This window comes from Homo sapiens, chromosome 12 (assembly GCF_000001405.40).
Source record: "Homo sapiens chromosome 12, GRCh38.p14 Primary Assembly".
NCBI classification, from domain to species: Eukaryota; Metazoa; Chordata; class Mammalia; order Primates; family Hominidae; genus Homo; species Homo sapiens.
The window spans coordinates 130144063-130162323 of NC_000012.12; the positions used below are offsets into that span (position 1 = coordinate 130144063).

The following is an 18261-nucleotide window of genomic DNA, read 5'->3' on the forward strand; positions in this document are numbered from 1 at the left end:
GAGATCGAGACCATCCTGGCTAACACAGTGAAACCCCGTCTCTACTAAAAATACAAAAAAATTAGCCGGGCATGGTGGCGGGCGCCTGTAGTCCCAGGTACTCGGGAGTCTGAGGCAGGAGGATGGCATGAACCCGGGAGGCGGAGCTTGCAGTGAGCCGAGATGGTGCCACTGCACTCCAGCCTGGGCGACAGAGTGAGACTCTGTTTCAAAAAAAAAAAAAAAAAAAAAGTAAAGAGAAGCATGTAAAATGAATTGTGATAACATTTTATTTAACTCGATGATCCAAACGATGCTCATTTCAATGCAGGATCCATATGAAGATTACTGTTTCTCCCCGCCTCGCATCTCCATTTGGGCCGGCCACATTTCAGGTGCTGAGCGACTGCCGGGGCCATCACACAGGCCAGCCAGAGATACCATCAGATCCAGCAGGCGGGGCACCCGGCTCACACCAGAACTCCATTCACCAAACCTGAATCTCACCTACCAGGTGGAGAACATTTTCAAATGTCCCTTGAATGCCTGGGACTTCTGGCCATGCTGGGAGAACTCGCTGATTAGTGGGGGTCTTAAAGGAGAGGGATGTTGGAAGTGCGAAGTTGATTAACATTACAGTTTTGGTGAAGGGCCCATGGCTGAGAGTTCGAAACATCCAAGGGTACAGATTTGGGCCCAGCATCATTCTAGCTTCTAAGGAAAGTCAGAAAATGCTACATCTATATGGGGCATTTGCATTAGAGGTCAGAAAAAAGGACTTGGCCTTAGGTTCTTGCTTCAAGCTAAATGCAGGTGAGTTACCCTGACCAATAGAGGCACAGACCAGCCAACACAAACAGGGCTGTTTGCAGCAGGCTCTGAGCAGGGCTGGCCCGACTGGATTGATGCATCTTTTTTTCTTCATCATTCTTTTCTTTCTTCATTTCCAAAGTCGTTGCCATCACCCTTGTTGGCCAGAACTGTTTCAGTGATACCCACGTGGCTTCTCGGCCTTCTCTCCACCTTCACCTCCTCTCCTCCCAAAGCTACCAGTGTAATCTTTGGGACCCGCATCTGATCTTGCCACACACCAATGGCACCCCTGCAGATCCTCTTCCCTCCCTAGGGGTGCCACGAAGCTTCAAGACACCGCGCCTTTGTGCATACCGTTCCCTCACCTGGCACCCCCACCACCTTTGCTCAGGCTGAGGAATTCCTAACCACCTATCTACAGACTGTTAAATGTTGCCTCTTCTGGGAGTTCTTCCCAAATAACCTTTTCCTGCCCCACACAGCAAAACGAATCCCCCCTTGCGTTCTAGACCTTCCACTGGAACACCTGCTGTGCAGTCCTGGGCTTGGCTCACATGCACTCCCTCTACGCCTCTGAGTCAGGGTTATCTGAGCGCGTGCTCTGCACTGTCACTGTACCTCTGAGGTCTACGTGAACTGCCCCCTGTGGGCTGTGGTGCAAAACCTGTGTATGTGGTGGGGTATTATAGCCTTTACGTGCTGTTGTTCACAGAGTCCTCATAACAACCTTATAACGCAGCTACAATTATTATCCCCCTTTTGCTGTTAAGGAAACCAAGACTCAGAGAGGCTCATCAACTTGTCTACAGTCACACAGCTCCTGAGCAGTGAAGCCAGGATTCAAACCCAAGAAATCTAAGCATTCTGTTAGGCCAACTCTGAATTCCTGCATGGTGACAGGGACCATGATTTGTTAATATTCTAGCGCCATGACGGGGTACAAGTGCTTCCTGGGTGAGTGCATCGACAAAGAACAACAGCACGAAGGCACAGTCAGAGCCTCACGGCCAGACCTTTGCCTGGCTGCCTTGCTCTCCTCCTTCAGCTCTCAGGGATGCGTCACCTCCTCAGAGCCAGCCCTGACCGCCTCAGCTAAGCAGGCAGCCTCCCCACGCCCCACTGTCTGTCCCACTTTCCTTTTATTATCTCCACAGCACACGGCAGTGCCTGAACTTATCCCCCTTGCCAATTTGTCCATCCAACGTCTCCCCCGCTATGATATCTATCCTAGTGAGAACAGGTGCCAGCTGAGCGCGATGATTCATGCCTGTAATCCCAGCCTTTGGGAGGTTGGGGTGGGAGAACTGCTTGAACCTGGGAGGCGGAGGTTGCAGTGAGCCTAGATTGTGCCACTGCACTCCAGCCTGGGAGACAGAGTGAGGCTCTGTCTCAAAAACAAAAACAAAAACAAACAAAAGGAGAACAGGTGCCCTTTCTACTGGCCGTGGCTGTATCTGCAGTTCCTAACACAGTGCCTGCACAGAGCTGATGCGTGCTGCACCCTCGCTGAATGACTGAATGAAAGGGTGAATGAATGCATCCCTGGCTCCTCTCAGATGCTGCCTTCTTCACCAGGTACTGGCCTCTGTCAATCCGTCTGGACAGAGCTCTCAGGCCAGACAGCTGAGAGGTGGCGTAGAGGCCACCAATATGTCACAGAGTTATAGCAATAAGGTGCAGCAAGGCTGAGAAATCTCCATAGGTAAAAGAAAATGGAGTCGCTTATCCTAGTGATGAAACTCCTCGCTCTAAAGCCAGCAAACATTTCCTATAAAGATCCAGATAATAAATGTTTTAGACATCTGGGCCAGACGGTTTCTGTGGCCACCACTCCATTGGAGTGAGAAAGTGACCATCTGCGAATTGTAAATGAATGGGTGTGGCTGTGTGCCAATAAAACTTTATTTACAAAAACAGGCATTGGGTCAGATCACAGGGCATAGTTGCTGACTCCTAATGAAATAGCTTCACATCAATGAAAGAACTAAGTGGACATCTAGCACAGAGTTTAAACATTATACTGGAATAGAGGTTGGAGGTATTGTATGCAAAGTATTTGTTTAGGAAGATTTTGCCTATTTCAAACCTGCATAATTCAAGGCTGATTTTTGCAAAGAAGCACACATCACTGAGGAATTGTTCTGTATTTCTGTCGACAAGCTCGAATGGCACTGACTTTTCACGTTAGGGAAAATGTGGTTTATTATCAACGTAGGCAGCCTGCTTTAAAGTCACATGTTTTTACTAATTTTAAAAATTGGGGTGTGTGTAGCATTTATTCCAATTTTGGTCTAGTGAAAGTCCATGAATATTTGTCATATTGCCCTAGTCCGAAATCCCAGAATTTGAATTCATATAAAAGGCAGCTCTGTGGCATGTGTTGGTCTCGCTGTCTCTCCCCTTTGCCCACTAGCCACTCAGTGCTCCCTTCCTTCTGATTTTCTCTGCATATGGAAGAGCGTTTTGATGTAGCAGGCACCCAACACATGACCACACAGAAGTAAAGCACCTGCTTTACCTCTCAGCTTGAGAAGGAGTTAGCAGAGCAGCAGGGACCTCAGTAAGACAGCAGAAAGCACTTTTCTCTTTTTTTGAGATGGAGTCTCACTGTTGTTGCCCAGGTTAGAATGCAGTGATGTGATCTTGGCTCACGGCAACCTCCGCCTCCTGAGTTCAAGCGATTCTCCTGCCTCAGCCTCCTGAGTAGCTGGGATTACCGGCGCCTGCTACCACACTGGGCTTTTTTTTTTTTTTTTTGTATTTTTAGTAGAGACGGGGTTTTGCCATGTTGGCCAGAGGGTCTCGAACTCCTAAACTCTGGTGATCCACCTGGCTTGGCCTCCCAAAGTTCTGGGATTACAGGCATGAGCCACCGTGCCTGGCCAGAAAGCACTTTCTGATTATAAAGAACGTATAGCTGCGATGATAAAGAATGTAGAGCTGTTATTCTGATTATAAAGAATGTATAGCTGTGATTCCAATTATAAAGAATGTATAGGTTCTGCAGTCTTTTCCCCTGGAAGTTTGTTTGTTTGATAATAGTTAGTGTGGACTCAGTCCTTCAGGAAGCAGGAGGAAAGAGCAGAGAATATTCCTGGCATCCTTTCACACCTGGCATCTAGGAAGGGAAATGTCCTTTACCAAGTATGACTTGTGCTTTTCTTTTTCCATGCGCTTTACCAAGCACTTAAAATTCACTGTGGCCTCACCGCTTAACCACATCAAAAGCATTTTGCAATGATGCTTTTTCCTCTACGAAACCTGAAGCTGTAAGTGGACCTGCTATTACACTGGTAATTAAGCCACTCCCTGGGCCAGTGGATACACATTCAAGACGTCAAAATATGGTGCAACAGGTGCCTTCCTCAGTGGGGCCCTGGTGGCCTGACTCCCCTGTTCCCCTTGATACCTTGTTCCATTTCCCACGGATTTGCCTGGAAGTTGGTGGGGGGGCTACCTGTTGCAGTCACCCAGGGGCAGACAGTGGCTTTGGGACCTCACCCTTCCAGTTTCAACCACACCCATTCAGCAGCAGCTCACCCCAGCAAGCAGCTCACCAAATAGCCGTGTGGCGACCAGAAGAGATGGTTTCCTGGGGCACTCACTGGAGACAAAGCAACCACAGCCATCCAAGTGCTGCCATCCTGAGTTTATGATGCCAACCAGCCCTGGGTGGATTGAAGGAAGTCCTCTGAGTGACCAAAAGGATGCCTGCCAGTCCCTGTCATCCCCTGCCCGCTGAGGCCCAGCTCTGCTCAGATGTCTGCCGTCCTCCACGGGCTCTAAGGGTGCATCCTAGCTAGTCTATGCCAATCCCAGTAGTCTCCTGTGATACTGTTCTGGCCAATGAGATGAAACAGAAAGTCTGTTGTGGGGTTTCTGGGAACGGTTTTCATGATTTAAAAAAAAAAAAACATTGTAGAGACACAGGACAATGTGATTCCTCTTTTTGATTTCCTTTTGTTCCACTGAACAGGCACTGCTTGTGTATGTGATGGCAGGAGCAGAGGCAGCAATCATGAGCGTGAGAGGACAGCTGGCCCAGGCCAAGTCAACAGGCTGGAAATGGCACAGCAGAAAGAAGAAATGAATCCAGAGCCTCGATGAAGTTCTGAGTTTCCAAAGAAACCAACCCTGGAACCGTCCCAGCTGCAGAATTTCTCCTTCTAGAAAATGATACATCCCTTCTCTGTTGAAGGCATTTCCAGTCAAGTCTTCTGTTACCTGCAGCCTGAAGCATTCTAATCTACAGAGAGCCCACTCCTAGATTCTTCCTGGATCTGGTTTGTAAGAATTACTCAGATTTAATGACTTTGAGCCATGAAATGATGGAGAAACAACTTTCCTGGGCAAAAAAGGGAAGAGGTACCAGCTCTCCCCTTCTCTTGTCCCAAACCCAACGGCTTTAGCCCAAAGGGCAGAGGAAAAAGTGTGGAGCAGACGAAGCCCAGGAGCTTGAGCACTGGATGCACTGCATTTAATTTCCGAGTGCCACTTGTCCATTCACAGGCGCAAACCCCAACCCACAGGAGATGCTGGCTACTTTATGGTTGCTTAGCAACCAGTGATCACCCTTCTCCTGAACTGCAGTGCCCAACTTTACTTTTGGGGGACCTCCTCTACCCAATTCTCAGTAAAGTTAGCTCAGAGACGTCTGACTTCTTCCTGGCTAATCAGGATACCCCATCCCTCTGGAAACAGTGGATGGTTCAGAACTAGGCACACGACCTGAGCCAGTCCAATGAGACTCCACCTCGGTCCTTGCAGGGCAGTCTGTGAAGGGTGAAGCCAAGACAGCGAGAGGCAGGGCCAGGAGCTGGAGAATGGCTCAGGCTTAAAAGTACAGCTGGATCTCAGCTTTTCAATTCTGCGAGCCAGTGAATTTCTCCCTTTCTTTTCATAATCCCGCGCAGCTTGGTGTTCTACCTTACCTATCCAAAGGAATCTTAAGTGAGGCAGCTCCCCCATGAGGGACACTGACCCAGACGCTGGGAATTGGATTCAGCTTGCACCCCCTCAAGACCGTGCATTAAGACCAAGGTGCATTTCTTATGTATAGCATGGTAGATTGTGGTAGTGATAATGTGGTTCCCCATAAAATTCCTTGTTTCCTTCTGGTAATGGAGCCCCTCTTTCTTCCAGGGAGCTGTACCATGTAGTAGAGATGAGGTTCAATGAATCTTCCCTCCCACACCCTCCCACACTCACCCAAAGAGTCCAAGACCATGGCCTGTCCAATTGGAACTAATCCATCCAGAGCGGCTGGTTTAGGGGTGAGCCCATGACCCAAACCGGGCCACTCATACTGCTTCATGGGACTTTTGCCAAAACACATGGAAGGAAGGGTCTTTCTTAAAAGGTGCTCTCAGCTTGACATTGCTGGGGCCGTGTTTGCCAAACTGGGGGAAGCCTTGAAGAGAAGGACGCCGCACAGAGGAAAGTGGGGGCACAAATGTGCGTCCTCGTTTTCCAGAGCCAGCCTCTGCCAAAGCGTCACCCTTTATACTCCCAGATGCAGGAAACTTGTTTAGTGTAAGCCAATTTGAGTTGGATTTTTGTCACTTACTAACAAGACTCCTAACGAATGCATTCAATAACAAATGCAGCAACACCAGCAAAGATCAGCACTTGTGAGTCTCCCCGTGGTAGATACCGTGATAGGATTTCCCATGAATAATCTCTAATTACCCATTGAGGACACAACTCCCATCTTACAGATAAGGAACTGATGTTCAGAAAAGTGTCCTAACACATCCAAGGCTATCTACAAGGTAGCCACTAGCCTTTGTGAGAATTAGGAAAAGGTGCCCCCTCTCAGAGGAGGCTTCTGAGGGCACAGGGTTAGGTGGATGGGATCTCAAGGTCTCTGTGCACATTGGAGGGAGGAGGGAACCCTTCCTTGAGCCAGACATAGACCCATGCCAGGGTGCACGGCCTAGGAGTGGGGTGTGGGCTAGATGGCAGCCCCCTCGCCCCAGGTAGCCAGGCACCTTGGTGCAGGTCACACTCATGCAGCTGAAGGACCCCCCCCCCAGCTCCCCAGACCCAAATGACCTCACTTATATGCTATACAACCAAGCCTGGAATTTCAGTCCTCCTCATCAGTTACAGTCCAGCCAGAGAAACACAATCTGCAATAGGACATAAATATATGAAAAGATTCAGGGAGCTTGGAGGCAAGTCCGAAGTCTGAAAAGGAAGCTGGAAATTCCCAGGCAAGAGGTGACGCTGCGGTCCGGAGGCAACACTTCATCCTCCTCCAAAATCCTAGTTCTGCTCTCAAGGCCTTTCAGCTCACTGGATGAGGCCCGCCCACATTCTTGAGGATAATCTCCTCTACTGAAAACCAACTGATTGTAGATGTTAATGGCATCCAAAGACCTTCCCAACAGCACCTAGGTTCATGTTTGATGGGCTCACTGGGGACTGTCACCTGGCAGAGTTGACACATAATGAATGCAGGTGGTCTCGCCACTCAGATTCCTCTCCAGGAGTCTCCAGCCCTCATCTTCTGGTGTGGGGCCATGGCCTAGACTCGCCTGGCAGGGTCCTGGTTTGCCCCGCCTGCCCCAGCGTAATTAGCAGCCCCCTTTACACTTTCAATAACGTCTTGCTTGCATTGTGGAAGACAGCGTGGCAATTCCTTAAAGACCTAGAGGCAGAAATGCCATTTGACCCAGCAATCCCATGACTGGGTATGCACCCAAAGGAATAGAAATAATTCCACCATAAAGGCATGCACGCGAATGCTCATTGCAGCACGAGTCACAGTAGCAAAGACATGGAATCAACTGAAGCGCCCATCAATGATAGACTCGATAAAGAAAACGCGGTACATATACACCATGGAATACTATGCAGACACAGAAAGGAATGAGATCATGTCCTTTGCAGGGACATGGGTGGAGCTGGAGGCCATTATCCTTAGCAAACTAATGCTAAGGATAATTGGGTGGAGGACACAATCCCACAAGGCGCTGTCCCTTGCACGGCCACGGCAGAGGGAATGAAGAGGCTCCTCTTTGCATTGGAGCCCTGGGACTCCTCCTGTTTTCCACATCCCTCCTCAGTGTGTAAATAGGTCAGGAGCCAGCTCCACACCTCCCAGCTCCGGAGACGGCAGGGCCGAGTGTGTGCAGTGTCCGTGCAGAATAAGTCATCCACTGAATTATTGAAGAAACACACAAGGGACACTGCCCTTGAACTGGGAACACGTGGAGGCTCCTGTTTGGTTCCTGCCTTTATACAGCTCACACTCTTAGGGGGAAGCAGGTGAGCAGAAGAACGGATGCAATGCCTCACACCCAGTGCCCTGAACAGGGAAGGGAGGGAAAGCCCGGGAAATTCCTAGCCAATTGCAAGACGCATGGATCCCAGCCCCAGTGAAACTTAGGACCCAAGGTGGTCACAGAGGGAAGCCACTCACTGCTCCCTTCACAAGCACAGCTGCAAGGAGCTAAGGCTGCCAGGCTGGCACCGCCATGCTGCCGTCTTGGGATCCACTGAGCATGTTAAGGCCGTGCTCCCAGGCTGAGCTCAGGAAGAAGCGCAACACACCATTTTTGCTTGACTCCACTAATGGGAAACCTTGAAACCGAAAGACTGGCTTCTCTTGCCTTCTAGGCCAGAAGAACCACTCCCGGGCCCAGGAGAGATGAACAAGCATCCTTAGCATAGGCCGCAGGCCCCACGGGGAAAGTGGGTTCTCTGACCCCATGCAGGCTGGGTTGAAAGTCAGGCCCCGCCACTGACTGGCTTTGTGCCCCAGAGCCTCCGTTTCCTCCTCTCTAAAGTGGAAAGACTATGGCACAAGCCCGGGAGAAGGATTCGATGACGTGACACTTGGAGACCACTTGGCAAAAGGTCTCGCCCTATTTGGGCTTCCCAGGGACACAGATTGCGTGGCTTAAAACTGCAGAAATGTATTCTCTCACAGCCCTGGAGGCCAGAAGTCCAAAATGAATATATCTGCCAGGCTGCGTACCCACCACAGGGTCCAGAGGAGGCTCCTTCTGCCTTTGCCAGCTTCTGGTGGCTCCAGGCATTCCTCGGCTCACGGCCACATCACTCCAGTCTCGGCGTGGCCTTCTCTCATATCTTACATCTCCCTCCGTCTTTCTCTTACAACATCACCAGTCATTGGATGTCAAGCACAGCCGGATAATTCAGGGTCACGTCCTCTCAAGATCCTTAACATGATTACTTCTGCAAAGACGTAATGTAGAGCTTTTTCCAAATAAGATCACAGCCACAGGTTCCCAGGATCAGGACGTGAACAGGTCTTTTGGGCGAACACCATTTAACTCGCTAGAAGCACTCAGCGAGCAGCTCTCAGAAACAGTGGCTCTGAGGACAGCAGCTGTTAGGATTGTCAGTTCTCTGCCTGTCTCTACCCTCCCTAATTCTAGGGAGAAACTTCATTTACTCCACAAACCCTAGGACTCCCTAAACCTAGCTGGGGTCTCTCCTGCATAGAATTTCAGAATGCTTAAAAATAAAGCTGTACAAACGTGTAGATATGAAAAGTCGTGGAGTGGGTGCCAGCTTTTTGCCATTGGTCGTGGTGGCGTTTTATTGTTTCTCTCTTAGGGAAAACTGTAGGATGGAGTAGAAGAATGAGTTTTCTGGCAGGGTGCAGTGGCTCACGCCTGTAATCCCAGCACTTTGGGAGGCTGAGGGAGGGGCGGATCACAAGGTCAGGAGATCGAGACCATCCTAGCCAACATGGTGAAATCCTGTCTCTACTGAAATACAAAAAAAAAAAAAAAAAAATTAGCTGGGCTTGATGGCACACATCTGTAGTCCAGGCTACTCGGGAGGCAGGGAAATCACTTGAACCTGGGAGGCAGAGGTTGCAGTGAGCTGAGACCGCACCACTGCACTCCAGCCTGGTGACAGGGCAAGACTCTGTCTCAAAAAAAAAAAAAAAAAAAAAAAAAAAAGAAGAAGAAGAAGAATGAGTTTTCCATCAAAATGGACAGCCTTGGTCCATGGTCAAAATGGACAGCCGGCCCAGGCTTGCCTGGTGGCCCTCTAAGCAGAATCCAATCCCTGCTGACCGTGGCCTCTTCTGCCTCCGGGGTCCAAGCCACCAGCCTATCTCCTCTGAACCACTGTGGCTGTCTCCTAACTGTTTCTCTGCTTCACTCTTTCCCTGCCACTATGTGTCCTTGATGCACTAGCCAGAAGGGTCCTGGGAAGACTGAAGTCAGAGCATGGCTCTCGTCTCTCCAGAACCCTCCGTGGCTCCCCATTTCACTCAGAGTCAAAATCAAAAGGCCCATAGACGCCATCATGGCCCGATTTCTTTCCCTCCCACTTCCTCTCCACACACCTCTTCTGTCAGCTACCTTCTGACGCTGGCCCCTATGTCCTGACTTCCAGCCATTGGCCCCATTGTTCTTCCTCAAAAACCCCAGGTATAGTGGCACTTCAGGGCCGTGGCACTGGCAGACACCCCATTATCCCAGCAGGCACTTCTAGAAGTGCCCTCAGCTCTCTGCACCCACTCCTGGTGTCTTTGCTCAGTGGTCTCCTTCTCATCCAGGCCTTCCCTGCCCATCTTGCTAAAACTGCAGCCCCCCTTTCCTAGCTCTCTGGATGGCATGAGCCGCTCACCTGCCCCGCACGCCACGCACCGTGGAACAGGCTGTAGCACGCACATGTGCAGACCCCGGCCTATCGCCTCCTCCTACTGGAAGGTGAACTCCATGAGGGTGAAGACATCTGTCCTTCTATCCCCTGCTCTGTTTTAACCATCTGGCAAAGCAAGCACACTCAGCGCAGCACTTATTAGAAGGGAGGGAGCAGAACAACTATTCTGGGACTGACTTCCTGCTGGAGGAGGAACAGAAAATAAATACATAAGCAGATGAGTAAGATCATCGACGGGCAGAAAAAGTACCACAAACAAAATAAGAGTAAGACTGCTCCGAGACAAGGGGCTGGGGAGGGGGAACCTGAGTAGGAGGCAGCCTAGTGGACGCGTCACCCAGGAGCAGACATCGTTCAGCCATGAGGAGGCGGGGGATGCAGCCTCCTGATGTGTCAGCTCTGAAAGCTAATGACTGTGCCTGCGTGTGTGCGCATGACATGCGTGAGCTGTAAGGGCAGCTCCATAATTAGATTATATATGTGTGTGCGTGTATATATATGTCTGTGTGTATATATATGTGTGTATGTATATGTCTGTATAATAATATGCATACACACGTGTACATATATATAACCTATATATCTCTCTATATAGATTATATATGTGTATAGTATATACACACATATATATTATATATGTGAATGTGTGTGTATATATGTATATATGTGTATTATATATACACACACACATATATATGTATACATATATAATCTATATCTCAGAGAGAGAGACTGACCTGCCAGCAGATGGGCAGACATTTGTCAGACATGGAGAGAGTGTCTTTATTCCTAAAGTTGGTTTCTCAGCTGCAAGGGCAATGGCCAAGCCCTTCCCAATCTTACCTTACGAAACAAGGGTGACAGGCATTCAGGGATAGCAAAACGATCTTTCCTATCCTATTTTGGGCCTTAGAGAAAAGCGTAATTGTGCATTTAAACTGTTGTTTGGGATGAGGGCAGCAGAGCACACAGCTGTTGGAACCAGTTTCTCTTCATGCTATCACATGAGGCTGGAGCCTGAACTATCTCTGGGAGGCTGCAGAAAGTGGGAAGGGAGTTTCAGATCCATGCTGGAAGAACAGGGAAAGGCTCCCGCAGGGCTCCGGGTGGTGTCTGCCGCTGATTCAGCAAAGGACTTGTCCTGGACACGGGGCATGTGGGAGCTGAGCACGGGATTTCAGGTCCTGCTTCACCTCCTTCTCATAGGGAAGAAGCTGTCCACTGCTCACTCCTGGTTAAATTCAAGGAAGAAGGGATACACAAGTGTGGCAGCCCTATAGAAAAGAGAAAGACTCGTAAGTGATGCTATTAGTAAGCCATCTTGGCTTCCGGCCAGTGAAGACAAATGAATTTAACAAAGAAAAGTCAACTAACCAGAAAGTTTACAGACCAGTGAATCCCACAGGGCTAGCATTATGTGCCAACTCGGTTCTCAGAGCTTACTGAGTTATCTCACTTCATTCCTACCCCGAACCTGATCAAGTAAGTGTCATTGTTCCCATTTTACAGCAGAGGAAACAGAAAGAATCTCAGAGAGGTTAAGTAACTTGCCTGGGGTCACACAGCTGAGGACATGGGTAAACCAACACACATTAATACCTCCCACATTGCTTCTTCCGCCATTTCCTCCCTGTTTGTGGCTCCAAAGAATCCCTTCAGACACCATCACGGGGAATATCAACATGACAGGAAAGTGGCAGCCTCGCCCCAGGCCAGGAGCCCCTGAACAAAGCCATAAACCAAGACTTGATCTTTGCCTGGCTCCAGACAGGACAGCAGAACGGGGTCCCATTCTGAAAGTCAGGCTCCATCACAAGTACCCACTGTGCTTGCATCTCCGTGGAGAGGCAGGAGGCCAGGCGTAGGCAGCTGAGCCCCTGGGGGAGTGGAATGGTGTCGGCTCTACCCCCAGTAGCCCCGTGGCCTGGGTCTAGTGACTCGGACTCCCCAGCCCCAGTTGCTCCTCTCTGAAATGGAAATCTTCTCTGGACCAGCTTCCTGGGGTACCTATGAGGAGGCAGTGAGCTGCTTCCTATCAAGGCTTAAGGCAGCACCTGTCAAATGCTTAGTCAGCCTCGGCTCTTGTTAGCCTTTTGATTATTTGCTTGCCTTGATTATCAGCTTGTATTACTGTGTGCCTGACACTGACATGTCCCCAAACTCCTCCCCACAAATGTCACATTCCAGTGCCTCTCCTTATTGTGCTCTCTCCCTCCATTTATATTGCATTTCAACAATAATAACCGCTACTCATCACTGAGCACTTATTTGGTGCTTGGTATTGCCATCAACGCTTCCAAGTGTGTTATGACATCATCCTCATCGTGCCTTGGGAAGCGGGAACTCTGCTGGTCCCATTTTGCAGATGAGAAAACCGAGGCAGAGCAATTAGAAGTGGCATATCTGAGGTCATGGGGCTAGAAAGTGGAAGAGGGGGATTCAGACCCAGGCATCCGGGTCGTTTCCTCCCCAGATCATCACTGTGGTGCGGGGCTGCTCAGGCGTTTGGTGAGTGGCTGCAGATTCAGAGCTCACCTAAGGTGAAAAGCAGGAACGGGGTTCCTTCTCATTTCTTTGTAAGGCAGAGCCAAGCTCGTGGGTGTCCCCACTCTGTCCCTGAAGGGATAGTTTCTCTGTGTCATCTTTGCCTCCTCTGTCACCCATGCAGGGGCCGCAGGCCTGTGATGAGCTGACCCACTCAGCTCCCAGAACAGGCAAAAGGGTCCCAGGGTGCAGGAGGGAAGCCGAAAGAAAACAGATGGGAAGGGGAGTAATTAAATCAGCACATCCCAAACAGCTAAGGGAGGGGACAAGGAGCAAAGCAATGAAGACCAGGTATGAAGTCTGAACTCACAGAATGGGCACGCGCTTCCGATAAGCTGTCCGCTCAAGCTGTTTGGAATACAAACACCAACCAAAACAACACACGCACACACTCTTTTGTGTCGTGTTTCTGGAATTCTGTGATGTTTCTTTTCTCATATATTCCTCCAAAAACAGTCCAGTACAGAATTGCAGGTTGAAGCACTGTGAATAGGCTCTAGGTTTGCCCCAGGTTAAGGGTTAATTTGTTGAGTTTCAGAACAGGTAGGCGACGCCCTCCTGGATTTTAAACAGATAACGTCCTTGCCATGTAAGAGCACTTAGAAGGCTGGCTTTATCTCTTTAAAAAAAAAATATATATATATATATACACACACACACACACACATATATACACACACACATATATATACACACACATATATACACACACACATACACACACACATATATACACACACATATACACACACATATATACACACACATATATACACACATATATACACACATATATACACACACATATATATACACACACATATACACACACATACACACACATATATACACACACATATATACACACACATATATACACACACATATATATACACACACACACACATATATACACACACTATATATATATATATGATTGTGTTTGTTGTTGTTGCAGTTGCAGAGATGAAAAAGAAATCTGTGTCTTTAAATGAGGAGGGGCTGCGTAAGGAGGCTTGGGCAGCAAAAAGGCTAATACGCTGTGGAAGAGAAGGAGTTTAATCTAATTTAGTTGGAGGGTGTCTGTCTGCGGTGTTGTTTTTTGGAGTGTGGGAATAGAGGCGGGAAGCTGCCCCCTTGAATGGTCCCTCCTGAGCCAGGAGCAGTGGGGAGCCAGTCGACGCCAGCGATCCAAAGCCCGGCCTTGAAAGAGGATTAAATCAATGCTCTGATTTGCAATTCACACTAGTGCACCCCGTGGAACCTTTGGTAATATTTCAAACCACATTTCAAGGGAAGTGGCCTTAAAATAGCTGCCTAAATTGTGCTGGAGCCACACTGGACACCCCACTCATCCACTTTAGGATGGGGGTGCTTCGGGGTTCATTTCTCACCTTCCCCCAAACCTCCACATCTCACAGCCAGTGTTTTTAGGCAGAATTAAAACTTTTGCGCCTGTTGAATTCGCTGCGACTTGCATGGCCTTTCTGGTGGTACAAACTGTGTTTTCTTTGCTAAGTATCACTTCAGATCACTAAAGGTATTTTCCCTGGAGAAAAAGATGGGGGCACGCCACGGGGAGCATGCCTACTTGATCAGAAAACATAATTTTTTGTGCATGTTTTATATCTGATAAGTTTCTGCAGAAACTTGATACTAGATGAGGTCAGAGAAAACAAGGTCTATTCACATCAGACTTCCCTGCATGTGAAGCAATTATTGGTAAATAGATCAGTTTTCATTCTCATACTTGAAGGTAGAATTGGAAATGTCCCGGACTAAATACAAACATTGACGACACGAGAAGACAAGAGAAGAAACACAAGAATCACTTACGTGGATCCTCACACTTGAATGTACCAAGAGAGGTGATTCAAGCAGCAGCTACTGAAAGGCGTTGCGACAGCCTGAACCACTTTTTATCTCAACATTCACCAGCACGATTTTACTTCTGTTTATGAGCTTTCTTCCTATGCCACCAGTTTACTCTTGCAATTAGCTTGTAACATGCTAAGCTTATGGTTTAATTTCTTTCTGTTGCTGAAAGACTCAGTACTTTTTTATCTTAAAGAGATTATTTGGGTTTTCTCTAATCCCATTTCAGAAAACCTCGCACAGTGCTTATAATTTCCATTGACTATTACATAATAAGAAAAGATACAACTTTGATTTTTAGCAATATCCGTGTCAAAGTACTTTTATACTTTTGACTTTGTGAGTTTAAATGGAATGAAACTGGGCCTCTCTTTCAATTCCCCTCCACCTCCAAAAAATATTTAGTTCTTGTTCAAAACACTGCCTGACTCCTGAAATATTCTCTCTCAAAAACCTCATACTTTCCCTGGTGAACGTTTGCAAGAACCTGAAGGCGGATAATGTTTACTGATAGCTTTCCGATAGACAGACATTTTTAGGTGGTTGGGGGTAAAAACATATTCCTTGTCTCTGCACGTTATGTGAAATCATGTTTAATTATAAAGTTTCATTAAAAATCTTTGCTCAAAATTTTAGAAGCCTAATAAGATTTCCATTAATTTAAACATATCACTATTCCCACGACGGCTCCAAAGCTTTCTTTTCCGTCTTTCATCCATGGTTAAATATGTAAATAAAATGTCTAAAGTCATTCTTCAAAGAAGACAAAAGAAAAAAGAGCTGAGGGAAAGACAGCCATAAAATTCCTCCCAATTCTCCATAACATTTGCCAGAGGGGGGTCGGTTGCCAGCCAGGGCTGAGCAGCGGGGGACCCCGGCTGCTCCTTAGACTCACACATCTCAAATCCCACACACAGGAAAAAAAATAAAATAAAATATCTTTTCAGCTGGGGCCATCAAAAGAGCCTTTTCATTTATTAGTTACAGACTTATCTTCCAGTTGCTGATTTCTCAGAACCCTCATTTCTCTATAATAAAGTCTATTTGTTGGTTTCCATCTCAGCTGGACAGGGCGAAGCACTTCTGCAGACATTTTTATAAAAAACGAGAGAAAAAGGCAATCTGAAGTGGTTATAGCTAAAATAATGGGCCTGAACGTGGCTGAATTAAAACAGCACAGAAAAGATCAATTAGGAGGCACTTTCTCAAATAGCTCACACCCAGCTCCCGGCGTTTGGCTCTCACTCTTGCACTAAATATTTCTAATAGTTGCTGAGGGAGAGACACAAAAAGGAAAAGAAGGAAAATAGGGCCCAGGAAGGACCTTTGCCAGGAAAATTCTAGAAAAGCCAAGTGATTTCCGCTGAATTAATTTTAATTTAAAGGTCCTGAAAAATTACTCACTAGACAAAAAACAACAACAACAAAAAAAAAAACACTATAATAAAAATGGCAGTCTTTCAAAAATAAAATCATGCAACTTTTCACTTGGGAAATAACACAGTTGAAGGTGGTGTTCTAACTGCCCGGAGTTTCTACCTTCTTTTTCACTTTCTCCCTCACCCCGACTTCCTCCAGCACCTCCTAGTGAGACCCAGGACACCCAGGGACAGCGACCCAGGGGTGGGTGCCTGAACCTGCCTATTAATTCTGGGATTCTGGGCGCTCAAATGTCTGTTGAACGGATGAATGAATGAGTGGAAAGGTGAGATTTCCCCAAGTTTCTTACCGATGTAAAAATTGTAGGGCTTGTTTTAATTAAAAGCCAATACTCTCCGAGGAAGTGGCCCCCTCCTGCACGGCGTGCAGAAAGCTGGTCAGTGAGGGGGGTTCCTGGCGGGCCCCATCTCCTTCCCGGGCGCTTCCTAGGGAGACCTTGCCCCGTGCGCAGCGTCCCCACCGCGGGGGCCCGTGCAGCCGCCCCCCACGCCGGGTGGAGCGCCGCCAACGCGGGAAGCCCCAGCACTGCCTCCAAAGATGTCCGCACACTCCACCCTGCTCCCTGGAACTATCCTCAAACGGGCAGGGGGCAAGCGAGGCCGGTGGACGCGGGACTCGCTCCTCTGACCTCTCCCCGGCCCCCCGGGAGGTAGCGGGAGATTGCACACGCGATCCTGCGAGTTTCCGAACTTTGGAAGATCGTGACCCGGAGAGACCCTGGGAGGAGAGGGCCGGCCACCTCCTAGGGGTGCTGTTTTTTTAAGGGTCAACCCAGGACGCTACGGGAAGCACCTGGCGCATCCTTGGGAACAGTGGGGCTTGGCGGTGGGCGCCCACCGCGAACGCCCTGGGCGGGGGAAGGGAATGGCGGGGGGACGTCGTGTCCTAAGTGACCCCGTCACAGACCCGCCCCAATCCGAGGGGGGATGAGCTCAGAGGACCTGCCCAGGACGCTCCTTCTCCACTTTCCAGGAAAACCGAGCGGCGTGCGCGCCTCCGTGTCCTCGCGGGAGCTGGGGGTCCCCGGGCAGGCGCTGACGCGCTCCTCCCACGACCCACTCCATCCCACCCTACTCCGGGTCCTCCTGCGGGGCTGCAGCCAAGGAGGGCGCTGGCCGGGCACATCACTCGCCAAATCACATAAATACCCCACGAGCGAATGACTTCCTATAATAAATAAACTCAGCCGCCAAGAAGGCATCTCCAGCCCTGCTGGCGCGAGGCCCCGGCTCTGCGGCTTCGGAGGGGGCGGGGGTCACCGCGGTACAAACCAAGCCCGCACTTCCCGCGGGGTGGGAGGCGGTGTTCAAAGTCCCGGGACGCTTCCCGCCCCTCCCCCTTCCCGCCTTCTTAGAGGAGACCTCGGATGAGCGGCCCTAAAATCCGGATTCTCGAGCCCCTCCCCCTCCCCTTAGCTCGTCTCTTTGAAATTTCAAAGAAAATCCCTCCTCGGAGCCCGGAGCCCGGGGCTGGTAGCACCTCCCCAGCCTCAGGAAGATGCGGGCAGGTTTACAAGCAAGGGCCTACTTTATGGCCCAGGCTATAAAACGCAAATCCCACCTCCCTTTGAAAGCGCCCTCCGCCCGGGACTCACCATAAAAGGAAGAGAAGATGCACCCCGCGCCCCTCGCCGCGGACCACCCCCAAACCCCTTCTCCCGCCAGTCCCCGAACTTCCCGTAACCTCGGCGTCCTCGGGGTGCCGGGGACCATCCCGGGGACCGCCGGGAAAGGGGGCGCCGGCGGAGAGGATAGCGAGAGGCAAAGTTGGAGGCCAGGCAGAGAGAGGGCGAGGAGAGGCGGGCGGGACTGCCGGGGAGGGTCGCAGCGCGCAGAGCCCCGCGCGCCAGGCGGGCTGTCCCGGGGCTGGCGGGCGACGCGGGCGGGACTAGGCGCTGCGCCCCCCGCAGGCTGGGCTGCAGGCCGGGGGGGATCGGCCCCCGCGGGGCCCGGGAGC

At 49.6% G+C, this 18261-nt stretch overlaps 1 long non-coding RNA gene across 1 annotated transcript, besides 3 other annotated features; it reads right to left on the bottom strand.

Annotated features, from left to right (window-relative positions):
* Window positions 1911-2080: an enhancer, noted in NCBI's record as "experimental_25722 CRE fragment used in MPRA reporter constructs". NCBI's record gives its function as "activates a minimal promoter by MPRAs in K562 erythroleukemia cells, with activity observed for both the introgressed and non-introgressed 12:130630603 variant alleles {active_cell/tissue: K562}" and the evidence as "EXISTENCE:reporter gene assay evidence [ECO:0000049][PMID:34662402]".
* Window positions 7531-17616, bottom strand: FZD10-AS1 (FZD10 antisense RNA 1). The gene is made up of 4 exons (NR_033834.1): window positions 16595-17616; window positions 11290-11720; window positions 10411-10629; window positions 7531-9536 (listed from the first exon to the last, which is right to left on the bottom strand). It is a non-coding gene; the product is annotated as an FZD10 antisense RNA 1 (long non-coding RNA).
* Window positions 16882-17448: an enhancer, noted in NCBI's record as "H3K27ac-H3K4me1 hESC enhancer chr12:130645489-130646055 (GRCh37/hg19 assembly coordinates)". NCBI's record gives its function as "activates a minimal SCP1, AML or CMV promoter by ChIP-STARR-seq in primed H9 embryonic stem cells {active_cell/tissue: H9 hESC(primed)}" and the evidence as "EXISTENCE:reporter gene assay evidence [ECO:0000049][PMID:30033119]".
* Window positions 17449-18015: an enhancer, noted in NCBI's record as "H3K27ac-H3K4me1 hESC enhancer chr12:130646056-130646622 (GRCh37/hg19 assembly coordinates)". NCBI's record gives its function as "activates a minimal SCP1, AML or CMV promoter by ChIP-STARR-seq in primed H9 embryonic stem cells {active_cell/tissue: H9 hESC(primed)}" and the evidence as "EXISTENCE:reporter gene assay evidence [ECO:0000049][PMID:30033119]".